Below are 19,173 nucleotides of genomic sequence, written 5' to 3' on the forward strand. Positions count from 1 at the left end.
TGCCCACTAGTTTGCCTGCAATTAGGTGTCAATTATGGTGCTATTTCTATTACAAACCCTGTATTTCTAAGATTAAATTACTTGAACTTGACTATTTTTATTTTTATCGGGCTGAAGCTTGGCACATAAATTATCAGCGTGGATGCAAATTTTCCTCTAAATAAAATAGATTAAGTGAGTTAAGCTTCTTTTATTTAGCTATAAAGTGTTCTATGAGGCTGCCTCTGACTTTGGATAGCCTTCCTGATCTGCATGATTAACAGGCTTAACTTCCAAATGGGAACTCTGAAGCAATTAGTACCAAAGAGAGGTTGGAGGCTTGCCTAGGAGCCAAGCTCTGCTCCAGGGCTGCCTGTCTTCTTCTTTCCACCTGACCTAACTTATGCTTTTATTTACTTTTAATTAAGTTAAATTAATTAATATTTTTTTAGAGGTAAGGTCTTGCTCTGTTGCTCAGGCTGGAGTACAGTGGCCCAATCATAGCTCACTATAGTCTTGACCTCCTGGGCTCAAGCAATCCTCCTGCCTCAACCTCCCGAGTAGCTGGGACTCCAGGTGTGAACCACGATGCCTGGCTAATTTTAAGAATTTTTAGAGAGACAGGGTTTTCCTTTGCTTCCCAGGCTAGTCTCAAACTCAGCCTCAACCAACTTCCTCCCTTGGCCTCCCAAAGGATTGGGATTATAGACATGAGCCACTATACCTGGCCACTTGTGCTTTTAGACTAAGGATCTCTGAATAACACATTTTGGGGGCCAATAGTGAGCCCCTGTGCAAATTTTATCTCAGCATCAGGGTAACTTCCTGCAGGTGTTCAGCAGTTGCCATCTGGGAATTGCTCAAGGGCCAGACAGAATGGTAACAAGGCTCTAGTGGTTGTTCTCAATTATACTGACCTCAAAGGATAATCCCTAAATACCCCTGGATGACCCACCTCAAACCCCTTAATGGGTTAACTAACCATTATTTTAAACTCATTTGTATTTTCCTACCACACGTGTCACAATAAGGGTGCTTTTCCTTCACTGGGTAGAATCACACTCGCTAATATTTGTCCTAAAGTAACCACTTTTCAGGTTCACAGGCTGACCCCTGCTTCAGATATGCTCGTTTGGGATGGTTTTGTCCATCACATCCATTCCCAATGAGAAAGGTCTTCTCAGTGTTGAGTCTCCTGACCTGGAGTGCTCTTACCATTTTAGCCTCCCCTCGAATAAAAGCTACTGCATCCCCTTGTCAAATGTGCTCCCCTTTCCTGGACCTTAGCGAATCTGCATGGAGTGATTTTAGCTTAGGAGACTAGAAAAGGTTAGGAAGCAAGATGGTAAGATAAATGGATGCAGAAAAAATATATATAAAGTCCTCCACAATGTGGCCAAGTACCTTCAGACCCTCTTCTATTCTCTGCTCTTTTTCAGCCTTGCAAGTGTATTAATTAAATCTGTAGTTAATAGGAAGTAGAAGTAAAGGCCCTTAATAGCCCTGAAATTAAAATCCAAATCACTTTCTTAAGAGCACCAATATGTTGTCAATCAAAACAATGGAGCACTTCAGGCTTAACTGTGAAATAACCACAAACCCTGAGGATTCCAGAGTTCATTTCACAATATCACATACTTAAACACCTGAAATTGCATCAGCTATTGGATTCCTCTCCATCTTATTTTTACTAGCATATTACCCAATCCTTCTCCTTGTATAGCTTGCAAGTGTACTGTTAAAGGTACCCAGCTAGCACTTAGATCTTCGGTGTGAACCCCTTCATCACCACCCTAGTCCCTTCTAGGTACTCAGTGAGGGCTATCCATTATTCCAGGTCCACTCAGCACAAGACACAAGGAATAGATCTTACAAGGTAATGGAGAGGAAGGCTTTTGTTTTTCATCTAAGTGAAGTATGAGGCTAAGTGTGACTTTCAGTCCTTTAACCATACACAATCTTTGGAATTAACCTTTTATAAGCACCCAACGAATATATATCTTCCTGCCCCCCAAAAGGAAATCAGTCCCATTAGGGCATCAGGATCCTTCTCTTCTTCCTGCAACATGCTGTTCCTCATTCAGGATTCCACAAAGCATCCTTTGATTAAAACAGGTTCTCAATGTTGGAAGATTCTACAGCCCCCAAATGTGAAATGAGAAACTGGCTGTCATTTGGGTAAATCTGAGCAATTTCAGAATTCTAAGGAGGAATTCATAGGTAAAATCTATCCCAATGGAAACTACACCTAAACATGAGAGAATTTCTAACGCTTGTAACACAGGCTTGGAAGAAGAAAGAAAACGTTCCTCTTCAGAAGTCAAATCAAGTTTTGCCTCCTGGCTACAGGATTCCACAACATGGGGGTTTCAATGGTTAACGGAGAGAACACTAGCGATATTTTGGAGCATGTTATGTGGCATATGTCTGCCCTGAGATCATCCTGCATCCCTGATGATAGGAAACTGGCAGGCAGAGTGTGCAAGCAAACAAAAAAGACAAATACATTCCAAAGACAGGTGAATTAGTACACATCGCTGAGATCATGCAGTGGAATCCTTTCAGACTTGCTGGGTTCATAAAGACTGGGTCTACACCCAGAGCTGGGGAAAGGTAAATACCCTTTCACTCAGTGGCTCGACACAGTGGTGAAGAACTGCAAATCCAACTAGACTTTCTCTCTCTTCTTAGAGACAGAATCTTGCTCTGTCACCCAGGATGGAGCACAGTGGCGTGATCATAGCTCACTGTAGCCTCGAACTCCTGGGCTTAAGCAATCCTCCCACTTCAGTCTCCCAAGTAACTGAGACTAAAGGCACACACACCACATTTTTTTTTTTTTTTTTTTTTTTTTGGTAAAGACAAGGTTTCACAGTGTTGTCCAGGTTGGTCTCAAACTCTTAGCCTCAAGCAATCCACCCATCTCAGCCTCTCAAATTGCTGGGATTATAGGTGTGAGGCACAGTGCCTCACACCTGTAAGAAACACATTTCTTATTGTTTTCTTATTGCCAGGAATTGTGGTTCAACCTTGTCTCACTTTGTTAGTGAAGATACTCACCAGCAAGCCCTTAAAATATAGCTCTGACTGACTCAAGGAGCTTTTCCTGCATGTACACCTACGCTCTACTCCCCAGCACACGTATGCACACACTGAACTACATTCTGCCAAACTTTTGCAAACTTCCAGCAGTTATATGTCCATCAATTTTGGGCCATTGTGCATTTTAAATGCTTAGTGAAAAAAAACCTTGTTTCCCCAAAGACAGTGGTATATGTTCATGTATGAAAGCATCTCAATATCTTGCATTGTATCGTTAGTGGAATTCAAAGGTAATTTTCCTAATGGCAGAATAGTCCTCCATGTGCCTCTTCATTACCAGAGAAAAATATGCAATCTGTTAGGTGTCTAAGCAGCCTCCTATGCTATAGACAGGCAGTGGAGATTCCCTGGAAAAAAAACCATGGGAAAGATATGCCTACATTCTGCACAATGTGTATCAAGAGATCATAATCCTGGGTAATTTTTGTTTAGAACATGCTGGTCATTCTTCTCGTGGCTTCTTAACAAAGACAAGAGACTTAAGTCCTCTTTATGAACATACCTCTAATAATGGTAAGAGACCACTACTTTGATACTAATGTTGGAATAGGAGTCAGAAGATCTGAGTATTAAACCTGGATCTACCTAATCAGCAATGTGGCATGGGTGAGTCTCCTCAGCCATAGAAGGAAGAGTGTAGAGTCTGGGGTTGTTAAGGGAGATACTGAGTAACTTGCAGATCCTCTGGTGGCCCAAGTCCCTGAGCTTGTGAGGACTCTGGTACCTTAAGAAGCCAAAGTCATGGCTCCAGATTTCCAGGACACAATTAAAATGCCTTCATGTCAGCATTCATTCCTTAAAACTTTCTAAAGCAGCTAACTGATCCCTGGGGAGCCACTAAGACCTCGGAGAGCTCATTGTACACACCTCTCATTTGCGCTCTGGGTGAGATGCCTGCCTTAGAAAACAAGAATGCTTCAGGGAAAAAACTCTAACTCTTCCTGTCAGTTTTAACAGGAAAGCTATTGTATGTCCTGAGGCACAGCATTTACTCAGGGTAAGTTTCCCTAAGGTTCATTGACTATGCAGTCCTGGTTACAATATTGGAGGAAAAAGTGGACCTTAATGTCCGTTAGTTTCTAGGACCATAAGGAAGAGAAATTCTACAAAAAAAAAAAAAAAAAAAAAAATTCTCCATTTACATAAGGGGGCTCAAATCTCTCCATGAAGAGGAAATAATTTTATTTCCCTTAAGCTTTGAGATGATCAAGGGAGATGGGTAAGGAAACCAGTGAAGATCTGGAGCAGGTCGGGGAGAAGAGGACACCACAGAGGAAGGAAACACACAGGGCCTCCAGGCACACCCCTCCATAAGCAGTTGGTAGAGGGCGACCACTCCTCTCAGTTAATCTAGTTTTATTAAATGGCCAGACTGAATTGATAACCGAATGGATATTTACAGGTTCTTATTATCCATAGTATGCGACAGACTAATGCCTCAACGAGTGCTTTGGTAGGTTTTATTTTTCTTTAGTTATGGGAAACATTAGGAGTGTGGAAGTCAATCGTAGAAAAGTTTTATTTATCCTTAAAACTTATTTTGCCTCGGTAATCAAGGATCACATTTGGCTCAACAGGCTACTGGTACATTTGTGGCACAAGAGATGTGCGAATTTGTGGTGGCAATGTGATTATACTTCTCCAGACCAATTACTATTGACAATAGCAAAAATATTTAAATAAAATAAAGTTCCTTAGGTCAGTTCAATGATGCATGTAAATTTCTAGAGAAAACTAAGTATGTTGAATTAGTTTCTATTTTGTGCAATAGTCTTATTACTTTTATCTACAGATTTGGACATAAAAAATAAAATTTTATGAACATATACATAGAAATGTTTTGTGTCTTACATGAAAACAGATCCTTTAATATTCACAGTGATTCACCAGCATGCTCTGAGGATATGGTAAAAGGCAGTGAGATTTTAGCATTCCGATGGGGCTTCTATATTAGGATACTGCATTAGCTCAAACCCATTCCAAAAAAGAAAATTTTATTTTACCTAACATGCATTGCACAAAGATACTGGAGGAATGAGGTAGAATATAAGTCATATTAGCATCGCTAGCAATGAGCAAAAGCAGAACAACAACTATAACATGCAAACATGCAGAGAAGAAGAAAGGAAAAAAATACGGAAGCACCAGAGAAATAGATGCATTTGTTAAAAGAGATTCTCTAAGCATACTAACCTGCTGGTTCTAATGAATTTTCTACTTTGTCGTTAACATCGAAAACACGATCATGAACACCTATAGTTTTCATACAGCTATCTATAACAAAAATAGAGATAACAGCCAAATATGTTAGTGAAGACACCCTTAAACTCCCATTTCTTTCTTTTTTCTTTCTCTCCTTTTTTTCTTTTTTTATGTAGATTGTCTTACAATCAATGGCATGTTCCAAATGCCAATATTGTTCCCATTTGCTCTGCATGTACAACAGTCTAAGAAACAACAAGTTAGCAACTGCTGTGTACTTAAGTAAAAGCATCATGAAGAATGAGAAAAAATATGATGAAAACTAAAATATGAATGTTGATATACAAAACAGATACCACACAAGATTTAACAGTAAAAAAAAGTTTTACCGCCGTGAACCAGACCACACAATAAAGCATGCGCGGTGAAGCCACCCTCTGAAGCTCATTCTAGTGAACTTACTTGTTGGTCTCACAAAGACTTTGAGCTTTAGACAGGACCTTCTTCCATTATCTGGGATTGCAGAGGCTGTGGGTAACACAGAGAGAGAGCAGGAAAGAAAGAAGAGAACAACAACATATTACTCTTCATTTTCACATACAAATGATGAACAATAAATTCTTTCCTGACTTGAACAACAGGAACTTTCTCTAATTCCTCCTCCAAATTAAAACAAACAGTACTTTTCAGGTCTCACTGCTATAGAAAGGCTACTTTCATATCCTGAGTTTCTCTTTTCAATACAATAAAAGAATCATGCAAGAATGTGAGTAATCTGTGAAGAAATACTTTGGATTTTTATTTCAAAGTCTCTTCCATTTAACTTGATCTGTTATCAATTTTCTCTAAATCGAGAGGATAATGTGTGAGCCCTCCAGCTTTCACAGAGCCGCTCCTCCTCTGCTGCAGGAAAAGGGGCCCAACAGAGGCCCAAGGTGAAAGTGCCGGCAAAAACCAATAACAGAGAGTTACAAGGCAGACTTAAACGTGACCTATTTCTGCTGGGGAAAGCAGAGCTTTGTCTGTACTGAAAGCTTGTCTGTCAGTGCTTTTGCAGGTAATTCAATTAGAGGTTTTACTCAGAACTTGGCTCTGCATTCTATATGACTAACCCAAGCCCGGTAACTTCCATCATGCTATTATAAGTACAATATGCTATTGAGAAAGTACTATGTTGCAACGGTACATGTATTTTTTTTTTCAATTTGCCACAGAGAAGGATGGAATTAATAAAGTGGGCTTACCAAAACATGACAGCATGTTTCAAGTTATAAATCACTTGAGGAAGAAACTTTCTTCTCCTTTTCAAGATAATAAGACTGTAAACTTTCCCTATGGTTGAAAGATTATCTCCCCTGTGTACACACAGCAAAATGTCAAAGGAATTTCCAAGGGCAGTAAGGCCCTTAACAACCACATGTATTTACTAATGCATCCTAGAAATGACAAAAATTACAGAAACGAGCGTCGCATACTTTCCTCCCTATGTGTTTGCTTCAAGTGGTTTCTTTGTTCAGAAAAAGCAGATGACATCAATCAAATCACACATGGCTTACAATTAGTTTGGCAATACCCAAAGTGACAAAGAGGGATCGGCATTTGGTGTGTCTTCTCTCTCCTTTATTTTTATTTTTAAATTATTCCTCATGGGGAGCTGAGAACACAAAAATGCTTCTTTTGCAGGTGAGAGGATTCAATATACAAACTTCCAAACAAATTTTACACAGTCTCCTTATGTAATTCTAGATCCAAGTAACCCTCCTGGAGGAGAACTTCTAAATTCACCAACTAAATAATGTCAAGTAGTATAGGGTCCCCAGTGTCCCTATTCAACACCTGTTGAAAACTACTTTAATTTTAAAACAAAAGTGTAGAGAAAAAGTGTTTTTGGTCCTCCCTATCTCCCCTGGTTGCTCTGACAAGCAGTTAAGAAGTGCTAACAGCTGGCTTTGCTGTAGGCTTTCATTAAATCATAGCCAGAAAAACTCCCTCTACTGACATTTACAGTAACTAGTGTGTTATTTAGGGCACAATATTTGCACTCTGCGGTTTGATCCAGGAAATGGTGTCCTTCCTGTGGACCTCAACTGCAAATGTGCATGTCACAAATACAGTACACATAGGTGACTCCAATTCATTAGGAAAACCACGGGTTCCTGAGGGAGTATATGTCTTATTCATGAGAGTTAGTGTGAAAAAAGTGACACATGGATGTTCACACTGCTGTTCAATGAATTTCTGAGCTGAGATGAACTCACTTCAAGCCTTGTGAACTTGATTTGCTACATGCACATAACTGACTTTACAGATGATACTGCTAGATAAACAGGCTGAAGACAGAATCAAATGCTTAATTGGTTTAGCGAGGAGCTTCTTGGATTTAGTACAGGTCTTTCAGATTTTTCTTTAGGAGAAATAAATCCAGGACATGAAAATTATTGTAGGGCACATGGCAATAACTAAACAGCAAACGATACGCCTCCAGGAAAAAACTGGAGAGTTCTCTCCATGAGCTCTCAAGGAGGGACACAGTCTTAGCTACTGGATGTGCTCCATACTTCTGTGAATTAAAAATATGAAATACATTTGTATTTAAATGACACATAAAATAAAAACCTCTCTTCCCTAACAACCTGCCCCACTACTTCCTCATTTTCTGTCACCAGGAAATGTGACTGATGCCTTGTGATACTGTGACTATTATACTCTAATCCTTAGAAAAATTTGTGAACAAAGAATATTAGCACACAATGTGATATGTGAGTACACAACACAGATTGCATGCCATGGATTCACTCGATCATCACTGCATCACTGGCCTGAGCTCAAGGAGTAAACTCCTAACCCTTACAGCCAACCTGAGAAGTGTGCCTTACTAGGTCAGTATAACTTGGGTTTCTTATTTAACACCTTGAAAAACAAACAAACAAAAAAATCCAAAAAGATGAAAACGTTTTCCATGTAGTAGCAAAACTCCATTTTTTAAATGTAACGTTTAATAAAGTTAAAGTGTGGCTTTCCTCTATGTTATGCTCAAGGTTCTGTCACCCCACACTTCTTGGCTGACAAATGTAGGATGCCTTTATACCAACTAAAAAATACAGATAATTAATTATTAGTACTATTTGAAGACATAAGGTAATATAAAAGTGCATTACTAATCACAAGTAAACAAAAGGCAGAGGACTGAGCACTAAAAACAAAACATAACAGAGGAATTGAAACATGTAACATTCCCACTAATAAACTTATAAAGAAAATCTCAGGATCAATTTATGAGCAATAGATAGAGCTGAGGATGGAAATGAGGGAGTAAAATCTTAAAACATGCCTCGTTTTTGTCAGGAGGTAGGTAGTATTAATCCTTATGGCTCTAGAGATACATCACTTTGTCATGGCCAACTTTATCTTAGTTAAAAGTAAATATGTAAGTATTTTATACATAAATTATATACATAAATATATATAAATTTATATACATAAATTATATTCACTATATATAACTTCTTGTGCTGCTTTCCTTAGAAAATGAATAGTCGATGTTGAAAGTTGATAACGAATAATTATAAAAATCCATTACATATTACTGCAGCTTCATCTATCATTTCAAATGCTTTTAAAATGCCTACTATGGGTTGGGTGCAGTGGCTCATGCCTGCAATCCCAACACTGTGGGAGGCCAAGCCGGATGGATCACTTAAGGCCAGGAGTTCGAGACCAGCCTGGCCAACTTGGCAAAACCCTGTCTCTACGAAAAATGCAAAAATTAGCTGGGCATGGTGGCACACACTTGTAATCCCAGCTACTCGGGAGGCTAATGCATGAGAATTGCTTGAGCCCAGGAGGCAGAGGTTGCAGTGAGCCGAGACTGAGCTACTGTACTCCAGCTTAGCAACAGAGCTAGACTCTGTATCAAAAATAAATAAATAAAATAAAATGCCTACTATGCATCAGCTTCTTTATTAGGTGCTGTGCATGCGAAGATATATAAGATTTCAAACTGTCCCTGCCCTTGTGTTGTGGTTCTTCAAGCTGGGACATAAATATGAACCACAGTTTAGCGTACCTGGAGGGATCCATGTGACAACTGAGGTTTACATGAAGAGCCAGCACAGCTCTGGGCAGGGAGCAAGAGTGTGTCCCAGACATGTTTATCAGAGGCTTCACAGGTCCTCCAGAAGCTAACCAGCAGCAACTGGGACAGAAGACATTTTATCCCTAAATTTCCAAACCAGAGCTTTGGCAACCAAAAAGAGGCAGTGACTTGCAAACAGGTGAAAAAAAAATCTAGATCTGAAATCTTCCTCTAAAGACACATGGATTTTCTAATAGAATTTTTCAACTAAAATGAGAAATGTCTTAAAACAGTTGTCACATCATCCAAATTCACACCCATTTACTCAGTTTACTGCTTAAAGTGTAAGTTGGAGTCAGGAAGTTGGGAGTAGGGATATGGGGACAATTAAAACAAGCACAATGTCCCATTCCATTATCTTAATAGCAACTTTATAAATCAATCCATAGAGTCCCTTCCCCTGAATGAGCTGCAACGTACCAATCAAAACCTTTTAACACATAATGAAATACAAGCTGGAGACTCTCTGGTTCTCTGTGTTTCGAGTACTCTGCTAATAAGGCCATGAGGGCCCCTTACTTTTACTCTGTTCCATGACCTCAGACAGGGGCTCTAACTTGAGCCTTCCCAAAAATCTTGGTCTCCTGGGGCTCAGGTGAGCATGACTCAGCACTTAGCCAACTTGGTATAGAAAATGACGATATTCAGTGCCCCCAAATCAGTACTTCTAAAAGTTATATTTAGCAATGCAAATATATGTAACATTCATACCACAATTCACCATAGATCTATCATTCAGACATAGTAGAGAACACATCCCTTCGGGTACTGCCATCATGCTTGTGGCGGGCAGCTTCTGACATGGGTCCCAGGTATCCCCACATTCCTGTAGGCAGTCCTTTGTATAATCCCCTCCCCTTGAGAGGCGACTGAACCTATTAACTTGCTTCTAAAGAGTAGAACATGGCAAAAGTGATGGGATGTCATTCTGATTGTTACAAAAGACTGTACCTTACTTCTAGTGAACACTCTCTCTTTTGCTCATGAAGCAAGGTACCATATTGTGAGATTTCCAATGGAGAGGACCATGTAGCAAGAAACTAACAGAGACTTCCAGCCAAGAGGTACAAGGAACTGATGTCATAGTTCAACAACCCACAAAGAACTGAATTGGCTAACAATCGGGTGAGTGAGCTGCAAAGTGAATCCTTCTCACTGAGCCTTGAGATGACCGTTGCCTTGGGAGAGACTCAAAGGATCCAGCTAAGCTGCACCTGGATTCCTGGTCCACGGAAACTGTGAAATAATAAACGTTGTTTTAGCCACAAAATTTGGGGGTAATTTCTTAAGAGCTGATACAATGCTGTACACTAACAAATCTGTGTAGTTAAAGGCTTAAAGCTGACTTCGGACTGAAGGACTAAGACACTCTGGCATGTTCTGCTAATGGCCAGCATGCCCTTGCTCCCACAGAGCTGTGCACTCCTGATTCTGCTGCCATGCCTCAACAACTGGATCCCTTACTAGTTTACATTTCAAGCTACTGTTACAAGTCCACTTAAAATATGCCTTGAAGAGAGGTAATTATAAGCTGCTGTTGAAGAAATACAACAAGACATATCAATTTAAATGTTCTCACTCCAGTATTAAAAAGTGTTTTTCATTTTCCTTCGCATACAACTTAGTTTGCTTTTGCTAATGCAGCCAACCTGTGCTGTTCTTTGCAATTAGCATGATGTCTCATTTTAACTACAAATTGCTGGGTAAACCAAAATGAGTTGATACAAAATGTGAACATAAATCTTAAGGAGAATGCCTTTCTTCAAATAGGAGAAATAGAATGGAAAGGTGGTCTTTAAAAATACCTGAAATGAAAGGATTTTAAAATAAGTTAAAACTTTTCTTACTACCAAAAAACTCCTATTAGTTATCTTCTACACAGGCCATCAAGTTAAATACAAAGATTATGAGACTTCAAACAACTCAAAAGTTCCCTAATCATCAAGGTAACAACCATTCTTCTTCATGAAGAACCAAAGTTTTAGCAGAAAAGGAAGGAAATATTGTTTTCTTTCACATTTTCAGGCCCAACACTGTACTCATTAGTCAAACTTAACATCTCTGCCTAACCTTATTCAGCTTCAAATCTTAATTCTGAAAGCCAAAATCCTCCTTTTCTGTGTCCCATGTCAATCTGGGTACTTTGGGAAGTTTTATTTTTAAGAATATTCAGCCGCTTTCTTCTTTTTAAAGAAATGAGTGTGTGGGGGAGCGTTAAAAATGCAGTTTTCCATTATGTTTGCCACAGGCAATATTTCTCAATTCGTGCAAGTCAAAAGAAAAGATAGGCTATTAGCTGTTAGCACGGCCCAGTTTTTTTCCCTGTAGGTTTTTCATGCAGTTCAACATACAACACAAATATATGCAAATTAGGCAGGTGAAGGTGGAATTAAGCATTAATATTCCTTTCACAATAAATGCTGAAAGAGTAAAGCCCATTTAAATCCATGGTACTACTGGAAATATCTCCTAGAATTTGATGAATCAATAAAATCCAGTTTGTGTACATGAGTGGAGTGGGGAAACAGAAGAAGTGGTGGGAACAGAATAGAGATTAATCAAAGCCATATGGACTTGGAAAATGGTTACCAGATCCACAGAAAACTTGTTAAAACAAAAGTTAGGCCTCTTCTTAGGGAAGAATACTAAAGCAACAATTTGCAACTGGCTATGTGCCCCTTTTTTAAAAGCATTTTCATACAAAGCATTTTCATATAAAGAACAAAATCATGTGTTATGATGAAATACATCTCACTCATTCTAACTTTTGGGATTTAAAAGTCATGTGCTTTAATGACTCGCTCATGGCCCCGGTTTACCAAGCTTGCATTCATGGTGCCACCCCAGGAGCTACTAAATTTGCCAACACATTTCTTCTCTTGCAGCCCACTGCGTCTCAAGACTTAAATCATGGGCAGGTTAAGGTCAGAGCCCAAGACGTAAAATTTGGAAAGGAGGTCACTAAGTAAAGATAGAGGCCTTGGAGAAATAAGAATATCATGTAAATATTAGAAACTTTGATATGACTCTGGGGATGTTTCTTTTAAAAACCAGAATAAGAAAAGGGATGTGTTTCCCACCACATAACAAGAGGGATAGAAAAACATATTCTGCAAGTTAAAACTTGGTTTTAACACCAGGGAACTGTAACAAGGAAAAAATAATTAGAGTAAACTTCAGGACAAGGGAGGTAAAATAAGTTCCAGCTGTGCAGCCACACACAAAAGAGAAATGGGAAGCACCACCCATCCTACCCACTGTTTGCCTTCCCTCCTATCTCTCTGCCCCCTTAAGGCAAAGTTCTCACTGCTAATAACTAACCTGAGTATTATTTAAATTCCAGCAGGTAAGTCTCAGTAGATCAATTACTTTTTCTTAGCCACCTCAAGTAAATGGCTGAGGACAAGTTTCCACTCATTTCTAGGAATACTCCAATAGCACACTAACATGCTTTTTGTATATATTTATCTGAAGTATGAGCAAACTTTTACTTGCGTTTAAAAGCTCAGTGACAACAAACTTTGTTTCTGCTGCTTATTGAAGAAGGGGATGATTTGTCTCATATAGTTTGATATCTATTTAGGTATGAGCCAAAAATAACGTGGATTTTGGAGAATGATTTTAAAATGTCCCCTTATAAGAAGGATTTCTAGTTCTTTTTTTTTTTTTTTTTTCCGCGAGACAGTGTCTCATTCTGTCGCCCAGGCTGGAGTGCAGTGGTGTAATCTCAGCTCACTGCAACTTCCACCTACCAGGTTCAAGCGATTCTCCTGTCTCAGCCTCCTGAGTAGCTGGGATTACAAGTGCATGCCAACATGCCTGGCTAATTTTTGTACTTTTAGTAGAAACGGGGTTTCACCATGTTGGCCAGGCTGGTCTCGAACTTCTGACCTCAAGTGATCCCCCTGCCTCAGCCTGCCAAAGTGCTGAGATTACAGGTGTGAGCCACCATGCCTGGCCCATTTCTAGTTCTGCCTAAGGAAAATTTAAGACAGCTTTAAATAAATCTCACATTCTGAATGTAAACTTCACCTCTGTCAGTCATGTGAGTGGGGAAATCTAGTCCTCACAGGCACAGAAAGCAAGATAATATTTAGATATCATTTTAATTGTCTAAGAAATTTCTTAACATGAAGAAATATAGTTCAGTTTCTTATATATTTTACTATTTTTAAAAATCAATGAACATCTTTGAACAGTTAAGAAAAAGTTTTCTATTATCAACTAGTGTTCTAACTATTCTCTGAGACCTCGCCTTGCCTAAGGCCACACAATATTTAAGTGACTTTCTCAGGCTTTAAGGTCAGCCAGTTCTTTCTTTCTTGTTTGTGGTTATTTTGGTGAACTTACTGTACTAGAGAGGTATTATCTGACAAAACAAAACAAGACAAAAACAGCAACAAACCAGATAGGCAGAATTATTCACTTAGAAAACCTCTTCTTCAGATGGAAGCCCCATAATAACCATAATAACAACAAAAACAAAAACTCCAACAAAAGGCAGAATTCCTAGAATCCCACAAGAGGAACTATTTATATTATTTCTTCTCCACAGGCTCCCTTTGCCCCTCTGTGTGATACCCTATGAGGGTGGCTGTTAACCGTTAGGCAAGGAAAGCAAAGCCACAAATCCCATTCCTCATTCGTAAGATATTAACAGAAACAATGTCATTATCAGACAGCACTAATGTAGCATGACAGTAAATTACTAATAAATCATCAAGTTAATACAATTCAAAGAAGCTCCTAGAAAAAAGTTAATATTTCTGTGAGCCTTTCAAAACCCCTTTCATTATTATTCTCCTTGGTGAGGGCTCTTTTAAGAAACATTACTTAGCGGTTTGAGTGTATGCATAATGATTCTCTTTCTCCCTGGTTCATTCTTTTTGACTTATTTTGTGGTTTTGAGCCAGCTGCTTAACGTGCCTACGCCTCAGTTTTCTCATTAGCTTCATCTTCTCTAAAACAAATTTTAAGTATGACCTGTTTTAGAGGGGCAGTACAATTTTATAATGCACTTAGAAACTCAGGTGATCCCTACAGATCTAGAATATTGTTTCACTATTCTACAGATTGATAGCATCAGCTCTGCGCTTACTGGGGCCTCTGCATGGGGATATCCCTAAGCAGGGGGCACCCAGCTGAGGGCTTCTGAGGTTGTGAGTTCTGAGTGCAAATATGGAGGAGGAAGGGCTCAGGTGTGGATAGTGGTGATTAAAAGTTACTTAGGAGTCATAAGAAAAACAAGGGTAATTAAGTGTGATCTTCTCTAGCATAAATTTTAAAAACTGGATTCTACCATAGTTTGACTTGTTATTTTGTGTGTGTTGGAGGGTGGGGGTGGTGATGAAGATATTTATGTGAGGATGTGCACTGAGGCTGAGAGAATTTAGAGAATTAGGGTGCTGGAAGATCCTGTTCCTTTTGAAAATATGTTAAGATCTCTGAGCTCTTTTTTCAATCCATGTTAAGAGTGTGAGCAGTGAGCATGCTATTAGGCTAGAGGGACCGTAGGACAAGGATGTAAATCCTGCAGAGAGGAAACTAGGCTGGGTGTTGAGACTGCTTTTGCAACTGTATACCCAGACATGACAGTGATGACACTAAAGGAAACCAGCCCAGAGGTGGCTATAGATCCCGCACCATGCCCATACCAGTCCATGGATATTGTGCTGCTATATATAAATGTTCTCACTCCACTCTTTAATTTTTTTTTTTGTATACTATTTGGGTTAGCCTGGTGCAATGCCTATAGTCCCAACTACTAGGGAGGCTGAGGTAGGAGGATCACCTGAGCCCAGGACTGAGGCTGCAGTGAGCTATGATTGTGCCAGTGCACTCCAGCCCTGTCGGCAGGGTGAGACCCTGTCTCTAATAAGAAAACAAAACAGGCTGGGCGTGGTGGCTCATGCCTGTAATCCCAACACTTTGGGAGGCCGAGGCAGGTGGATCACTAGGTCTGGAGTTCAACACCAGCCTTGCCAAGATGGTGAAATCCCACCTCTACTAAAAATACAAAAATTGGTGGGGCGTGGTGGCAGGCGCCTGTAATCCCAGCTACTCAGGAGGCTGAGGCAGAGAATTGTTTGAACCTGGGAGGCGAAGGTTGCAGTGAGCAAAGATCACGCCACTGCACTCTAGTCTGGGTGACAGAGTGAGACTCCATCTCAAAAAAAAAAAGGGTGGGGGTAATTATCTATTTTATTTACACAAATCAATGATTTCTTTGGTTGTATTTCTTAACCAGTAAGCCATGTTCTCCCCAATGCCTATCATTTCTGGTGATATTACAAGTATCTAGATAGAAATATCCATTCATTTAGGCTGGAGGCTCTCCAAATGGAATCCTAGAGGCCTGAACAAATTAACGTTCTCTCTGTAGAAGATGAAATTTTACCAAGGAGGGAGTCGTTAGATACCAGGATTGTACATTTTGTTTCACACTCAAAATGCTTTCCATGATAAGGCTTTTATGTTGATTGAGTGGAGAAAAGGACAGCCAATCTCAGGGACTAAATTCTAGTTTACTCTGATTGTCTCTGAGACGGATTATCTGCAGAAAAGTTAATGGCTGTGCATTCCCATTCGTCATACCACAGAACAGCAGCCAGGGTTTCCTTTTCCATAATCTGGTCCCAACCTTATTCTCCTTTGTTTTGTTTGTTTGTTTTTTGAGACACGGTCTCTCTCTGTGGCCCAGGCTGGAATGCAGGGGTGCAATCAGGGCTTACTGCAGCCTCAACTTCCCAGGCTCCCTCTTTATCCCTCCTACTCTTTTCCCTTCTTTGGCATACATTCATAGCTTGTACCAACAATATTCCCTCCTAGAATCTCCTGGAAAGTCCACCTTTTCTCATGTGACCTTTCCTTTGCCTCTCAAAATCCCTACTTCCTCTGGCCACTTGAGGTATGTCTCCATTTCTCCAACACAATAACCCTCTTCCAGGTTCCCACAGAGATCTGTTTCTGTCTCCTTACTAGCACTTAACCCATTCTGTTTTGTTTTAGAACTGGTTAATACATCTTATCTCTGCTACTAGAGTTGCAAATTCCCCCAAAGGCAGGAGCCATGCCAAGTTGTTGTGTTCTTGGGTTCTAGGTTCTGGGGAGTCTATTGCTTTGTTCCTAACAGGTGTTTAATAAAGATTTGAAGAATTATTGTAGGGATTTAAAAAAAATCTGTCGAGGCCAGGCACAGTGGCTCACATCTGTAATCCCAGCATTCGGGAAGGCTGAGACAGGAGGACTGCTTGAGCCCGAGAGTTTGAGAACAGCCTGGGCAACGTGGCAAGACCCTGTCTCTATATAAAAAAAAATTTTTTTTTTATTGGCCAGGTGTGGTGATGTGTACCTATGTTCCCAGCAACTTGGGAGGCTGAGGCAGGAGAATGGCTTGAGCCCAGGAGGTCAAAGCTGCAGTGAGCCGTGTCTGTACCACTGCACTCCAGCCTGGGTGACAGAATGAGACACTGCCTCAAAAAAAAAAAAAAAAAAAAAATCTTCTAGCTGCAACGTGATTTGTTGACCTAATATGAACCAAAATTTAGGATTAGGACACAAAAGTGAAGAGAGGGGTAGTGGTAAATGTCAAAGAAATTAAGAAAACAAAAAAGGTCCTTGTCCGAGAACTAGAAGTCTCCCCTGCCCACACTGCTGGCTCCTTCTTGTAGAATGATCTTGGGAACTGATGTAATAATCAGGCAAAGCCAGGGATATACAAAATTCAAGTAGGTAGCATTTCAATATCTGTAAGAGTGTGGGGTCCCAAGAAGTAAGAAATAAGTGAAAGGAGGCCAGGCGTGGTGGCTCACGCCTGTAATCCCAGCAGTTTAGGAGGCCAAGGCGGGCAGATCACCTGAGGGTCAGAAGTTTGAGACCAGCCTGGCCAACATGGCAAAACCCCATCTCTACTAAAGAAGGAAGGAAGGAAGGAAGGAAACGGAAAGGAAAGGAAAGGAAAGGAAAGGAAAGGAAAGGAAAGGAAAGGAAGGAGGGAGGAAGGAAGGAAGGAAAGAAGAGAGAGAGAAGGAAGGAAGGAGAGAGAGAGAGAGAAAGGAATGGGAACGTGGGCATCTTTAGATCCAAAGATATGTAGAATTTAATCAAATGATAGCTTGGGTACAGGTTGCAGGCCCCTCCCAGTGAACAGAGAATAAAAGCAAAGTGAGATTAGAATCCAAGTGACCATGGGCTTCTTTAAGTAATGATAAAAGGTGGCTCTGGACAATCATGATCACAGGTAAGGGTGACATTGTCCTTGCTGAATTCCTCTAATCATGAAGATCAGAGAAACCTCTCAGCAAGTTAAAGCACCTCAGATGTTACATGAGAACATAACCCCCCAAACTGTGCTGAGGGATACAACTATCTTTCAACCACAGCAGAGCTTAAAAGAGGCATTTTTTAAAGAATCAAAACCATAGAACGAGTATTTCTTGTGTATTAAAAAATGCCACCTGTGAATGTGGTACTTTAATACTTTTAAACTGTGGGATAACTTTGGCCAACTTGAGTAACCGGTCAGACAAGCAATTCTAATTTAAAATATATAATGGAAAAATCGACTTAGATTTGTGACTAAGTGAAATTTTAGCAGTGATGAAACCTATAATTTACGTGTACAGTTTTGGAACATTTAAGAGAACTAAAGGTTCATCATATTTTAAAATTTAATTTATTATAGTAAGAATTACTGAAATAAGTTTTTACAGTCAGACAACTAAAATATTTTTAAATGATAGAGAATAACTAAATCTAAGTTCAGCTTAAAATGTTTTAAAGTCTATTTAATTCACCAAGGTTTTAAATGAATCCAAATATTTACATTTGCTAGCCTTATATATAGAATAAAACATATAAGCTAATCTGAATAGGCTAAATTTGAAATTTTTAGAAAGATTTAAAAAAATGTATAACTTCAATAAGTCAAATATCAAATTTTAAGCGTAAAATTTAAATAAACATTTTACAGATAAAACCCACCCTTCTGTGTATCAAAAACTCATCCTGACACTTCCTTTCAGGTCCTGGATTACATGCTGCCTCCTCAGAGAAGCCTCCTATGACCACCTAATCGAAAGCTATCTCCATGTTTCTCTGGCACTGCATCCAGCTCCCTACTAGTATAACTGACAGTTATAGATTTGTTTGTTTCCTGGTTTATTGTCTACTTCCTGATGAAGCTGTAAGCTCCAGAAGCAGGAACCATTCTTTAATATATCACAGTGTTTCTAAAATCTAACATAGTGCTTGGCACAAAGGAGGTACCCAAGAAACACTTTGGTAGGAGTGAATAAGCGAATGAACAGAAAACTGAATTAGCCAGAAATATTCAAGGTTATATATTACAAAAAATAACCAAAGGCAGCAAGGTGTTCCAGAAACTTGAGATCTTCACAGATTGATTTGCTATGTTTTTCACTCTCTGTGAATATTACCTTTTATATTTCCTCTTGCTAATGCACAGAGCAATCTCATAGCTAGCTAGATGAAAACTTTGCCTACTTTATTACTGCTGCAAGCTTATTGAGAGATTTGTTTACTATTTGATTTTCCCAGAAACCTTAGTTTAGCAATCAGACAATGCACAGATGGATAACAAAAGATTGATAAATTACAATTATAACTTTAACATGTAGTATAGTAAATAAATCAATGATGCATTTTTAGGAGCTTCTAGCATATGAAAAGCCTGCAGAATGGAAAAAAGGATAACCATCCTTTAACATTTTGTTTCTATTTCTTAAGAAATTTCT

General features: G+C 39.4%; 1 protein-coding gene across 3 annotated transcripts in view; it reads right to left on the reverse strand.

The window, feature by feature from the left end:
• Nucleotides 1–19,173, reverse strand: part of EFNA5 (ephrin A5) — a 294,044-nt gene that overhangs the window by 5,067 nt on the left and 269,804 nt on the right. For 2 of the 3 annotated variants that reach the window (NM_001962.3, XM_011543250.4), the window contains exons 3-4: nt 5,746–5,811; nt 5,275–5,355 (exon numbers count right to left, since the gene is read on the reverse strand). In NM_001962.3, the coding sequence (NP_001953.1) occupies nt 5,275–5,355; nt 5,746–5,811 (147 nt within the window). The remainder of the gene's footprint in view (nt 1–5,274; nt 5,356–5,745; nt 5,812–19,173) is intronic. The other variant, NM_001410773.1, reaches the window with a different exon arrangement.

Source organism: Homo sapiens, chromosome 5 (genome assembly GCF_000001405.40).
Source record: "Homo sapiens chromosome 5, GRCh38.p14 Primary Assembly".
Taxonomy (NCBI): domain Eukaryota; kingdom Metazoa; phylum Chordata; class Mammalia; order Primates; family Hominidae; genus Homo; species Homo sapiens.